We start from the raw sequence: 12629 nt of genomic DNA, 5'->3' as shown, positions 1-12629 counted from the left end.
GGCAATAAGAGCGAAACTCTGTCTCAAAAAAAAAAAAAAAAAAAAAAAAAAAAAGACGGGAGCAACAATATCTGGCAAATGTGGCCTCCAACAGACATGTAAGAGTAGACCACCACTGGGCATGGTGGCTCACGCCTGTAATCCTAGCATTTTGGGAGGCAGAGACAGGCGCATTGCCTGAGCTCAGGAGTTCGAGGCCAGCCTGGGCAACATGGTGAAACCCCCTCTCTACTAAAATACAAAAGAAATTAGCTGGGCATGGCGGTGGGCGCCTGAAGTCCCAGCTACTCGGAAGACTGAGGCAGGAGAATTGCTTGAACCCAGGAGGCAGAGGTTGCAGTGAGCCGAGATCGTGCCACTGCACTCCAGCCTCGGCGACAGAGCAAGACTTGTCTCTACAAAAAAAAAAGTACAGCACCTAATTAGCTTGGGGGCAAGATATCACAAATATCAAAAGGGGCATTCCACATTTTGAAATATAATCTCTGAGCACAAACTTCAGCACGGGACAAGTCCAACTGTAAGCAAGTTCTACACTGAGCACTGGCTTGAAGTCAATCCTGATTTAAAATTAGTTAATAGGCCGAGAGCAGTGGCTCACACCTGTAATCCCAGCACTTTGAGAAGCCAAGGCGGGTGGATCACCCGAGGTCAGGAGTTTGAGACCAGCCTAGCTAACATGGCGAAACCAGTCTCTGCTAAAAATAACAAAAATTAAAGGGTGTGGTGGCTGATGCCTGTAATCCCAGTGACTCAGGAGGCTGAGGCAGGAGAATCACTTGAACCCAGGAGGCGGAGGCTGCAATCTGCCAAGATCGCGCCACTGAGCTCTAGCCTGGGCAACAGGAGCGAAACTCTGTCTCAAAAAAAAAAAAATCAGTTAATAACTACACCTGAAGAATATAAACTTATCTAGCAGCCACTGGCAAGAAATTTCAAAGTGCTGGTCTTCTGGAAGCAGCAAGCAGCAAACTACCATAAATGAGTCTAAAATTATTATCTTCATTAGGCTTAACCAATGTCTTAAACTACACTGTTAACTAAATTTCCCTCAAAACCTTAAAGGCACCAGAATAAAGCTCAGGATCCCAAGTCTTAAGGACTAGTCCAAGCTCTAACTTTGCTGTGAATAAACCTTCAGTCAGTCATTTAATATGCTTTATTCATTTCTTCTGTAAAATAGAAATGGGCAAGGATATTTCAAGGAATCAAAACTAATAGTGGAAAAATTCAAAGTTCCTAAATGAAACACAGCCAACCTCTTGTTAAGAATTAAATAAAATTATATATGTAAAACTGCTCAAGAATAATGTTTGCCACATTTTAAACACTTAGTGTTAGGAACTGTTATTACACATTAATTTTAGTCAAATAGGAAAAAATATAAAACAACCCGATCAAGAAACTAAATATTTAATAATCCCAATCTTGTCCATTACCTCGGCATTCAAAACCTTGGAATGAAAATAATAGTTTAGCCTACTAGATAATGCAGCAGGAAAAATAAAATTATGATACCTTGGCTGATAGGTGGTTGTGTTTTTTTTTTTTGAAATGGAGTCTTACTCTGACGCCCAGGATGGACTGTGGTGGCGTGATCTCGGCTTACTGCAACCTCCGCTTCCCAGGTTCAAGCGATTCTCCTGGCTCAGCCTCCCAAGTAGCTGGGACTACAAACACACACCACCATGCCTGGCTAATTTTTGTATTTTTAGTAGAGATGGGGTTTTACCATGTTGGCCAGGCTGGTCTCAAACTCCTGACCTGAAGTGATCTGCCCACCTGGGCCTCCCAAAGTGCTGGGATTGTGAGCCATTCATTGCTCCCACCTGTTGATAGGTTGTTTGTTTGTTTTGTTTTGTTTTTTGATGGAGTTTCCCTCGACGCCTACGCTGGAGCGCAATGGCACAATCTCGGCTCACTACAACCTCCGCCTCCGGGGTTCAAGCGATTCTCCTGCCTCAGCTCCTGAGTAGCTGGGATTACAAGTGTGCGACACCACATCCGTCTAATTTTTGTATTTTTAGTAGAGATGGGATTTCACCATGTTGGCCAGGCTGGTCTCAAACTCCTGACCTCAGGTGATCCACCTACTTCAGCCCCCCAAAGTGTTGGGATTACAGGTGTGAGCCACTGAGCCCGGCAGGTTTTTATATTAATATTTTATTAGTTTAAAATAACTTTTCCTTACTCTAGCTGTCATTTTTTTTGTTATTCCTTTCAAATCACAAATTCTTCAGATACATGTCTTTTCCATTTGTTTCAAATATTGAGCAAGCCTGAATATCCAAACATAGAAACATCAGAAATCATAGGTGTATCTCTGAAAAATGCTGTTTTGAGCCCACGGGAATTGTGGCCATTGTACCATTTGCAAATGGAGATAACACCAAAGCGCAAATTATCGAGTCCTAGAAAAACAACAGATGTAGTGGTCAAGAAGCAAGATGTGTGCCAAAGAGGATAAGAAAAAGAAGCCCTGGCTGGACACAGGGGCTCAAGGATGTAATCCCAGCCCTTTGGGAGGCCAAGGTGGGCGGATCACGCGGTCAGGAGTTCAAGACCAGCCTGGCCAACATGCTGAAACCTGGCCTCTACTAAAAGCACAAAAAAAAAAAAAAAAGAAGCCCTAACTCCTCCACTCCCTGGCTACATAATTTTGGGAAAGTCATTTTATCTCTCTGAGCTTCATTCACTTTATCTGTAAAACGGAATAATAGTCTTACTTCTCTCACAGGATGTTTGGAAAGTCAAATGAGGAAACATACTGCAAAGCACTTTATGGCCTAAAAACTGCAATACAAATATATCAATCGGTATTTTGTTGTTGTTGCATGAGCAATGTTCAACATACAGGTTAAGTTACACACTAAACATAGAATTTTCATTTCAAAGTAAACCATTACCATTATTAAAAATTGATATAAAAAACTTGCCTTGGATTGATTTCTCTTTCCACTTCTCATGCTAAACTTCTCCTTCATTTCTTCTAAAATTATCTTCAGTTTCTTTTCTTCAGGTGTTCCTAAGTATTTTTGGTTCACATGAAGATAGCAATGCCATTTAGCTGATTCAAAGCCCCAGTGGCAAGTTCTTTTGTCAGGTGATCTGTGAGAATGCATCACAAACGTCTGGGGTGCAAACATTCCACAACACTCCAGACATTGAATACACGGAGCATCAGGCTGAACATAAAACTGGGGTGCAAATAAACCCTGACATTTGCCTAGGCATTCATGCTCCACTTCAAAGGCACTGCCAGTTTCCTTTAACTGGGCCAATGAGCTTTTAGCAGGAAGTACGCTACCATTTTGAGGAAAAGTTCGTGGCCGCAATAAAGCATTACATAATCTTTGTGCATCAGTTAATGTAATCAGCCCACAGGATGGGGCATTGAATGGAAGTATGCCCAGTACCTTTAAGATATGAAGCTGGTCTGAAGTACACCTTGAACAATATATGTACAGTTCATCACACACTGTATTTATTTGCTGGAGTGTAAATTCTCGGAGAACAGAATTTAAGACTTGGGGCAAACAGAGTCTCTTTTCTCCTCCAACTTGAAAACAAGAAATAGATTCCCCTTCCAACACAGTCTGAGTGAGTTCTGTGGAGCTATCTGAAGGGATGAGCAATGGGCCAGGAAGAACCTGAGGTGATGGAAGAGGCAGAAATACAGTAGGCGACATGCTTTCTTGGGAATGCCGAGCAGAAAATGCTGCTGGTCCACCCAGCGAGCTCTGACTACTTAAATGGAATTGTGCCAATGTGTGTTTCAAACTGGGATTTAAATGCAAAGTTTCAGGAACAGAAGTACAGGTTCGCTTAACATGCTCTCCATCAGTTTCCACTGGTGCTTCTCCATAGTCATCCAAGTGTTCCTTCTTAACTGTTGGCACCTTGTTTATCGTTTTTCCATTTGCATGAATGTCCGTTATCATTTTTTTCGCTGGGGGGCTGCCATCATCTCCCATCCCATTCAGTTTTTTAGTTGAGCCCTGAACCAAGGAGAAATTTGTCTGGAGGTTTTCCATGGTACACTCTTCTGTTAAATAATTAAGTCTGAGATTAGCATTTCTATTTAGTTGCTTATTTGAAAAGAGGAAAGTAATGAATGGATACAAATGCCTATCGTAACTTACTCTCAAACTTTCAAAGCGAGAGCCCCTTAAATTAATAAATTTTGCGACTTAGTTTTGGTTCTCCTTATAATCTGGTATAATTTCACTACAAATCCTATAAAATTGTTCGTTTTGCCTCTAATAATAAAGAAAAGAGGCACACCTCTGAGGATGCCTTTGTTTTCTTGAATTCTTCAGATATACATATTAAAATAAAGTTACCAATTTCTCAATTAAAGATGTCCAGGGTCAATGCAATGGTCTGGTTTGTTTTAACCAAAACACATGAAAAGTTTATGCCATTCCTTGTGCCATAAAATCTAGACTCAAACACAAGTCAAAATGATGCAACCAAATTTAATCTTTACCACCAAGGAAACCAAAAAGGAGGGCAGAGGGAGTATTTCCTCTAAAAATGATGGTCTGCTGGTCTGTGCTGAAAAACTGAAGACGTGTGTAAATCCTCACACCAGTAAGAACAGCCTCCGACTTAAAAAATTGCCCAGTTATCTTCAAGGATTATAGTTCATTCTTCTTTTAATTAATCTGGAAGAAGAGAAGGGGGGTTGGGGAAGAGTTACATTTGAATTTGCTCCAGAGGCCAAAGGGCCAATTTGAAACCAGTTTCTTTTATTTTTTTTTTTTTCTTTTTTTTACGGAGTCTCGCTCTGTCGCCCAGGCTGAAGTGCAGCGATCTCGGCATACTGCAACCTCCGCCTCCCGGGTTCAAGCAATTTTCCTGTCTCAGACTCCGGAGTAGCTGGGACTACAGGCACAAGCCACGACACCCGGCTAATTTTTTTGTATTTTTAGTAGAAACGGGGTTTCACCATATTAGTCAGGCTGGTCTTGAACTCCTGACCTCAGGTGATCCGCCCGCCCGGGCCTCCCAAAGTGCTGGAATTACAGGCGTGAGCCACCGCACCCGGCCGAAATCAGTTTCTTAATCTTAAACTGAGTTCAGTTTACCAAGGTGAAGCTTGAGTGATTTCTTTAAATCTAACACCAGTTTACTAGAAGAACATTCATTTAAATAGGAAAGCAATTTGGAGTTGCGTAAAGCGAGCAATAATATAACATAAAAGGCCTTTCGAGTTCAGAATATGAAGACTCTTAAGCAGATCATCTCAATTAGTAGTACCGGGGCTTTCTCAGCTATGCCATTTTAAGGGAGGGAAAAAAATCCATTACTTCATCTCCTATTTAAAAACAAAACAACAGTTTCATCCAAAAAAATCAGATAGGAGTTAACATATCTACCATATGTAACTAAGTTACAATTTTAAGTGGATTAATTCAGCTAGTCCGTGTACACTATTTTTCTGGAATGACTGCAGGCAAAAATTAACTTTCTCTTAAAAAAAGGTTAGCGATTTTACTTAATGGAAGCCAAAAGCTATAGACTCCACGCCTGGGAATCTCCATCCTTCAACAAGACTAATCCGGGACAAAAAGCACAAGGCAGACAAACCTCACAAAGAATGCAAATGGAGGAAGAGGGAAAAAGAAAAGACTCTTTTTCCACTTCCTTCTTGAGAGAAAAGCCAAAAGAAATCCAATAAATAGAAATTTTTGCTTCCCAAACTCTCAGCACTTTACCTTAAAACAGACCCAAAGGATTAAGGACCAATGCCACCAACCATCGTACAGACTTTCGTCCACCACAGGAACACACCTTACTCAACACAGGCCAAGGAAGAGAGCAAGAGGCATGACCTAGAATGGGGGAGCCCCTAAAACCCTGAAGTCCTCCGCCCACTCAAAGCCACCCACCTATCTCTAACCCGGAGAGAGGGAGAACAAGGGACACGGGAAGCCTGGGGGTGGGTGTGCAAGGGGGTGGAGGGAAGTAAAGGGAGGAGTCCCCCCACCCCCACCGGCGAGCCTGGGATAACCCCAAGTGCCCTCCCAACACCGCCCCCCCGCGGGGGCCGCGGGAAGGACTGTGGAAATCCACCCCCCCGCGCACCCTCTCCCTGGGAAGTTCTCGGGTGTCACCTCAGCGCCCCTAATGCTGCACCTCCCCGCGCCAGCCCCGGGCCAGAACGAAGAGGACACCAGGGCAGTTTAGGCGCCGGGCGCGGATCCCTGCGCCGCCGGGGGCTGACGGACCGGGTCGAGACCAGGGCATCCCCGCGGAGCGCTGCTGGACTGGGGGAGGGGGGCGGTGACGGGCGTCCGGGTCTCCGGGGTCCCCGCGGCTCCCGTCAACTACAGCGCCCTGCCCTGCCGGCGCCCACCGCCTGGGGCCAACGAAGCGTGATCAGCCGTGGAACACCCGCCTAGCGACCCCCTCTGGCCCCGACCCCACCCGGGACCCGCGCATCCAAACCCCCTACTCGGGCCTCGGTGCCCGGGTAAGCTCGACGAGCTTTGTGAATTCCCCACCGCCCCTGTCGCCGCCGTCGGGCTCCTAGGAGGGTGAGCGCCTCTGGCCTCCCGCCGCCTCCGCCGCGTCGCCGCCGTAAGCCGGAGCCGCACCTGTGCCCGCCGCCGCCGCCGTCGCCGCTCGCCCGCTCCCTTCGGCTGTGCCGGCGCGGCTCCGAACCCCACACACATCGCTACACACAGCCCTCTGACGTCACCGAGTCCTCGGCCCGCCCACGTCACTGCGGAGACACACAGCTTCCCGCAGACGCCGCCGCCGTCTCCGGCCGCCCGGGGGAGAGCGAGGGCGGCGGGGAGGGGGAGGGGAAGGGAACGGAGCCAGCGGCGGCGCCGCGCGCGCGGGCCCGCCGGCGTCGTCGCCGCCGCCGCCACTTCGCGGCTCCCGGCCCCCTCGTGGACGCGCGTGCCGTCTGGCCTATTGTGGCTCCTCAGAGCGCCCCCCTGGCCCCGTCGTCTCGCGCGCGTGCCCCTCCCCCCAGGCGCGCGCCCGGCGCTTCTGGCCCCGCGCGCCGTCTGGGAAGCTGGCGCGCGGCGCTGTCTGCGGTGCACCCGGCGCAGACAGGATGTTCCCTCCCCACCCCACCCTCACCGCCGCCCTCCCTCCTTCCTTCCTCTAGTCGCCCAGCCGGCTGTCTGGGGCCACCGCCCCGCCCCCGCCCCACCCGCCGCTCTGTGGTGATGGGCCAGACGCGGGGGCGCCCTGGCCGCTCGGACGCCGCGCAGCGGGGAAGAGGGGGCAGGGCAGCCGCGCGGTGCACTGTGCGCGACCCCAGCAGCCGGCAGGGCGGAGGCAGTGCCCGCCCGGCAGAGTGCCGCCGCCCGAGGTCAGGCACGGGCGACCCTCCCCCTGCGGGGCCGCAGCTGGGCCGCCCCGCCCCGGAGGCAGCCGGGCGGCGGCCGCCCTGCAGGGCCCCCGGGGCCGGCTCTGCTCCCCGCCCCCGCGGGACCTCCCTCCTGGGCTGCCCCTCGCCCCCGCGGGGCCTCCTGCCCGAGGGCCGCCCAGCCAGCTGCCGGCGCTCCGCCCCGCCCCGGCGGCCCCGGCCTCGCCCGGGCGGCCTCCACCCAGACGCCTTCCCCTGGCTGACCTCCATCCGCCATCGGGCCGGGCGGGAGGGGTGGCCAAAGTTCCGGCAAAACCGAGAGCAAACATTTCTGTCCCTACTCCCCAGCCTCCTGCCTCCACCCCACCAGGCTGCTCTCTCGGTTCCAGAAGGGAGCTATAAATTAAAGGTTTTTACAGTGTTTACTGAGGGTGTTTTTTTGTGTGTGTGTTTTTTTGGAGAGGGACGAGACGAGGTAGGGAAGATAGGACTCAAGAGCTTTCCGGCTGTGACCCTCTGAGGCGTGTAGGGTGGTCTTCCTGGTTCCCAGGGTAGCCGATTAGCATATTGAACTCTGCAGAGCTGCTCCGTCACATTTCGAAACACCAAGAAATCCCCTTTTCTCCACCCCACCACAAGATCAGGAACTGAAATAGTCCACCGAGTAGCAGTGCACAAAATTCAGGAGACTCGAGCTTTGTCCCTTTTTTCCCCCCCATTTTCGTCCAATTTCTTCTAGTTTTACTGCTTCGGGTTGTTCCTGTGGGGGCCCACATTTGCAGTCGGCCGGCTGGAAATACTCTTGTGCTCGTACTTTTTATTTTTTTTTTCCTCACAACAGGCCTCCGAAAGGCTCACAAGCCTCTCAATCCCCACCACTCCCCGCACCCCCACCCAAGTTCCCTTCCTTAGGCCTCCACCGCCGAGCTCCCAGGTCGTGCCCCCTCTCCACCCCGCCCCCCCACCTTTTCTTCCTTCTTGACTGCCTCCTTTCCTGAACATGAATAATTCCACAGCACTTTCCATCTGTTATTGCCATAGAGACAGAAGCGTGGCAAAGATAATGATGTTCTGTGCAGAGCCAGTGGGGGAAAAACAGCATCTGCGAGTCTAGGGGGATAGATTTTCTAACTGTGAGAATATTCAGAAGGCCTAGCTGAAGATCTGATGTGAAGACTGGACAGTCCTGAAACTTGGCACCAGGTCAACTCTCAGCACCTGGCTCCTGTGTCTAGCCAGAAGTAACAATTTTTAGAAACCAACATGACTGGTTAATAAAAAAGTAATTCCAAAACTGCAATTATTAATAAATGTTTAGCAGTCATTTTACCAGCCATAAGAATAATTACTTGCTAGCATGTCCAAGGACGAAGATAAATTGGACAGTAAATAGACTTTTGAGAAATCAAACACATTAATCCGCCTCCCCGTTCTGTTGATTTGCATTCCTCAGAAATCTGTTTTTGAGAGATCTTTCATGCCTGTGATTTTAAGTGCAATGGTTTGACAAATAGTGACCGGCAAATATGACTAGAACCAATCAAATTTGAGGGCATTTATTTTTCCCTTATTGGTCAAAGTACAAAATGCATCAAATTAAAATCATTTTGTCCTTGAATTCCCAAACCTCAAAGGTACGCGTTTGAAAGCAAGTGAAACTGAACGGGGTCCATTTATACATAGATCTGAGGCAGATGGGGAGGCTCACAGGAAGGCACATTTTTGCAGGCCTACTTAAGGATTTTCAGAAGTTATCAGTAAAATTGATTGTATGTATCATACGACATTGAACACAAATGATAATGGTTCTTTATTCCAAATACAGAATTGCACAGACACAGAAAATGCAGGCCTTAGAAAAAATAAGCACTGCGAGGTAATGAATTTTGTAATTCCACAGGCTCATGGTCTTCATCAGTGTCGAAAAGTCAATTAAAGGATTGGTCAACAAATAGTTATGTAGTTATTAGGTGGATTTTGCATGACCTCCCACCTCACCTTCTTGGCTGCCAGCAGGAGTTGAGCAAGACCACCATGAGAGTGTGCTTGTCTGCGCATGAGAATTTCAAATGATTGGGGGTGGGGACTACCTATTGTTTCATCTTCTTCCATTAAATAGTACAGATACAAGATCCAAATTAACTGGTACTAGGTAGTCTAGAATGTCTTCTTCGTTAATTATGGCTGTCTGATAACAGAGACCAAGAATGGAGAGGTTACAAACTCGAAGGCCAGCTCTGTTCTGTGACCTGATAAATAGTTTGAGGCAAATGCTTTTCTTTTGTCTCCATTTACTGATCTGTTGATAATGACCCACTAATATTAATTACAAAGAAGATGGAAATGAGAAAGGATAGGGTAAGATGCAAAAATTCAACATAAATTATTTTTATTTTTATGAAGGAGGGGGAAGAAATTCAAATGTTAATTGAGCATGCAAACACTGGCTTGTGTTTGCATTTACACCTTCTGCTCTTTTCCAAAGAAAAGAAACCAGTTATGGTCTCTGATGGTCCTTCTGCCAAAGTCCTCCTTCCTTGAGCCTCGATTTAAAAAAATGTGTTTAAAAGGTTTTGTTTTGTTTGTTTAGCAGCAAGTCAAATGCTAGGAGGTCAGTTTCACAAAAGAATGTCAACCATTTCCTTTTCCATCTCATTTTTTTCCTGTAGCTTTTCGTTAATTTCTTTTTTTCGGAATTATGATCTTTAACTTTTTTTTTTCTTCTTTTGAGATGGAGTCTGGCTCTCTCACCCAGTCTGAAGTGCAGTGGTGCTAGCTCCCAAGTGGCTGGAACTACAGGCGCGCACCACCACGTCTGGCTCATTTTTTGTATTTTTGTAGAGAGGGGGTTTCACCATGTTGGCCAGGCTGGTCTCGAACTCCAGACCTCAGGTGATCTGCCCGACTTGGCCTCCCAAAGTGCTGGGATTACAAGCGTGAGCCACAGCACCCGGTCTGATCTATAACTTCTTCACAGCACTTTAATCATTTTCGTACCTGTCCTCTTCCCTTTACACTTTATTCCTCCATACTTGTTTTGTGTTACTGTTACTGCCAATGCACAGTATCTTCCCCTCGTTGAGTAGGGTTTCTCCTCTGGACTGCTTTCTCCTCTTATCTGCCAAGTCAGTACTGGATCTACAAGGTCCCTATTTCTACTTTTATACCTTATAGTAAGGTATAAAATAGGATGAAAACCACATGCTTAAAAACTATTAACCTCATCTCCCTGAATAGTGTCATGCAGCACTTCCTTTTATTTTTTTCCAGCTTTTTTTCCTTTCTTTTCTTTTTTAAATAAGATAGGGTCTAGCTATGTTGCCCAGGCTGGAATACAGTGGCTGTTCATAGATGTGATCATAGCATACTGCAGCCTTGAACTCCTGTACTCAAGCAATCCTCCCACTTCAGCCTCCTGAGTAGCTCAGACTATAGGTGCATGCCACCATGCCTAGCTGTTTTTTCAGGCTTTAACTTAGGCTCCATGCAACTGGAAGGAAAGAGAAAAAAACAAAAAGGAGTAGCCAGATATGGTAAAATAGAGAAAGATCATGTTAGAAATGTTTGAATTTTCAATATTTAATTTGCAAAAAATTCTAAAATCAATGTAATAGTCACATTAAGTGTATTTCATTATCAATTCTAGGAATTTCATAAGTGTTTAGAAAGTTAAGCAGTTTAATTTATTGCAAATCAGAAACTTTTTTCTCTGACGTTCTCCTGGAAAAAAAAAAATGGGAAGAACTATTATCTTGGCAACAGCTCTATGATATTGCCGAGCTATGATTTGCAAACCATAAATTGAGAGATGCTGAATTAGTAGTGCTAGACTCTACGTAGCTCAAAGTGCTTCACTTATTCTTATGAGATACATACAAGAAATCCCCTTTTTTTAACAAAAGGGAAGTTGAGACAGAGTTTAGGTCGCCTGCTAAACCACATTGCTCATCGGTGATAGAACAGACATTGAAACCAAATGGACTTGACCCACATCCACGGAGTTCCATTCGTTTTCTCAGTCTTCTTGTGCACATTCAAATAAGCTATAAGGACTGCTTCAAATTATTCAAAAAGAGCAAATATTAAAACTCACAGGTTGGGTACATTTATCACAACCCACAGTAATACTTATCCTTACTATGAGCAATGCTCTCTGATCATTCAATTTTATTCTGTTTCTTTGTATTTAAGTCCACTACTAATGCATTGTAATCTGCAGTTTAAGAAACAATGAATTAAATAACAATAATCAATGTTAACATTTATATAGTGTTTACTATTGCTAGGTTCTGTTCTAAGCACTTTACATATAATAATTCATTTAATCTTAATAACAACCATGTGAGGTAATGGCTATTATTGCCCCATTTTACAGATGAGGAAAAGCACAGAGTTATGCCCAAGATCACACAGCTAGATAAATCCTTTGCTTAGATTGTGAGAAAGGCTGTCTTTGATTTTTGAATCTGAGTTCTATGTAGGATCAATATGGAGGTAAAAAAAAATAGGATATCAAAGTTTATGTCATATGATTTGTGGGTCACTAAAGATTCTAACTCCTTCACTGCAATATGACATAGTGTTTGAAATCCCTAGAATAGCTGGGCGCAGTGGCTCATCCCTGTAATCCCAGCACTTTGGGAGGCCAAGGTGGGCAGATCACGAGGTCAAGAGATTGAGACCATCCTGGCCAACGTGGTGAAACCCGGTCTCTACTAAAAATACAAAAATTAGCTGGGAGTGGTGGCGTGAGCCTGTAGTCCCAGCTACTCGGGAGGCTGAGGCAAGAGAAGCACTTGAACCTGAGAAGCAGAGGTTTCAAAGAGCCGAGATCACACCAATGCACTCCAGCCTGGCGACAGAGTGACATTCCATCTCATAAAACAAACGAACAAACAAACAAAAAACTGAAAATGTGTTACTTGGAAGGGAGTAAGCATTATTATTATTATTATTAATCTCTAAACCTTATAACAGTGCTTCAAGGTAGGCAATATTATCCCCACTTATCAGATGGGAAAATTGATATTTTGAGTTTATCTGGAATCTTTGCTGGAGTTTGCTGTCAATATCAGATTAATTACTTATACTATAGAGTCCTATTTTGATGGAACACAACATAAAGCAACTTTGATTAGCAGAGGGTGTAGAAATCTTCAGAATGGGGCTGGGTGCAGTGGCTCATGCCCATAATCCCAACATTTTGGGAGGCCAAAGTGGGTGGACCATTTGAGGTCAGGAGTTCGAGAGCAGCCTGGCCAACATGGTGAAATCCCATCTCTACTAAAACACAAAAATT

General features: G+C 46.0%; 1 protein-coding gene across 6 annotated transcripts in view, besides 7 other annotated features; it reads right to left on the bottom strand.

Annotated features, from left to right (window-relative positions):
* The window catches only part of SKIL (SKI like proto-oncogene), a 39135-nt gene extending 32484 nt beyond the window's left edge, over positions 1–6651 (bottom strand). For 2 of the 6 annotated variants that reach the window (NM_001248008.1, NM_001145097.2), the window contains exon 1: positions 2937–4743. In NM_001248008.1, the coding sequence (NP_001234937.1) occupies positions 2937–4034 (1098 nt within the window). In that variant the 5' untranslated portion in view covers positions 4035–4743. Of the gene's footprint in view, positions 1–2936; positions 4744–5720 lie in introns of those variants that run through there. The other 4 variants (NM_001145098.3, XM_005247721.2, XM_006713735.2 and 1 more) reach the window with 4 other exon arrangements.
* Positions 2059–2559: an enhancer, noted in NCBI's record as "H3K4me1 hESC enhancer chr3:170079595-170080095 (GRCh37/hg19 assembly coordinates)". NCBI's record gives its function as "activates a minimal SCP1, AML or CMV promoter by ChIP-STARR-seq in naive H9 embryonic stem cells {active_cell/tissue: H9 hESC(naive)}" and the evidence as "EXISTENCE:reporter gene assay evidence [ECO:0000049][PMID:30033119]".
* Positions 6069–6138: a silencer, noted in NCBI's record as "silent region_14887". NCBI's record gives its function as "represses an Ori minimal core promoter by ATAC-STARR-seq in GM12878 lymphoblastoid cells {active_cell/tissue: GM12878}" and the evidence as "EXISTENCE:reporter gene assay evidence [ECO:0000049][PMID:35858748]".
* Positions 6229–6358: a silencer, noted in NCBI's record as "silent region_14886". NCBI's record gives its function as "represses an Ori minimal core promoter by ATAC-STARR-seq in GM12878 lymphoblastoid cells {active_cell/tissue: GM12878}" and the evidence as "EXISTENCE:reporter gene assay evidence [ECO:0000049][PMID:35858748]".
* Positions 6409–6638: a silencer, noted in NCBI's record as "silent region_14885". NCBI's record gives its function as "represses an Ori minimal core promoter by ATAC-STARR-seq in GM12878 lymphoblastoid cells {active_cell/tissue: GM12878}" and the evidence as "EXISTENCE:reporter gene assay evidence [ECO:0000049][PMID:35858748]".
* Positions 6799–7698: a silencer, noted in NCBI's record as "silent region_14884". NCBI's record gives its function as "represses an Ori minimal core promoter by ATAC-STARR-seq in GM12878 lymphoblastoid cells {active_cell/tissue: GM12878}" and the evidence as "EXISTENCE:reporter gene assay evidence [ECO:0000049][PMID:35858748]".
* Positions 7979–8078: an enhancer, noted in NCBI's record as "active region_20803". NCBI's record gives its function as "activates an Ori minimal core promoter by ATAC-STARR-seq in GM12878 lymphoblastoid cells {active_cell/tissue: GM12878}" and the evidence as "EXISTENCE:reporter gene assay evidence [ECO:0000049][PMID:35858748]".
* Positions 11264–11333: an enhancer, noted in NCBI's record as "active region_20802". NCBI's record gives its function as "activates an Ori minimal core promoter by ATAC-STARR-seq in GM12878 lymphoblastoid cells {active_cell/tissue: GM12878}" and the evidence as "EXISTENCE:reporter gene assay evidence [ECO:0000049][PMID:35858748]".

This window comes from Homo sapiens, chromosome 3 (assembly GCF_000001405.40).
Source record: "Homo sapiens chromosome 3, GRCh38.p14 Primary Assembly".
Classification (NCBI taxonomy): domain Eukaryota; kingdom Metazoa; phylum Chordata; class Mammalia; order Primates; family Hominidae; genus Homo; species Homo sapiens.
The sequence above is the reverse complement of the archived record's forward strand: the minus strand, read 5'-3'. Positions and strand labels throughout refer to the sequence as shown.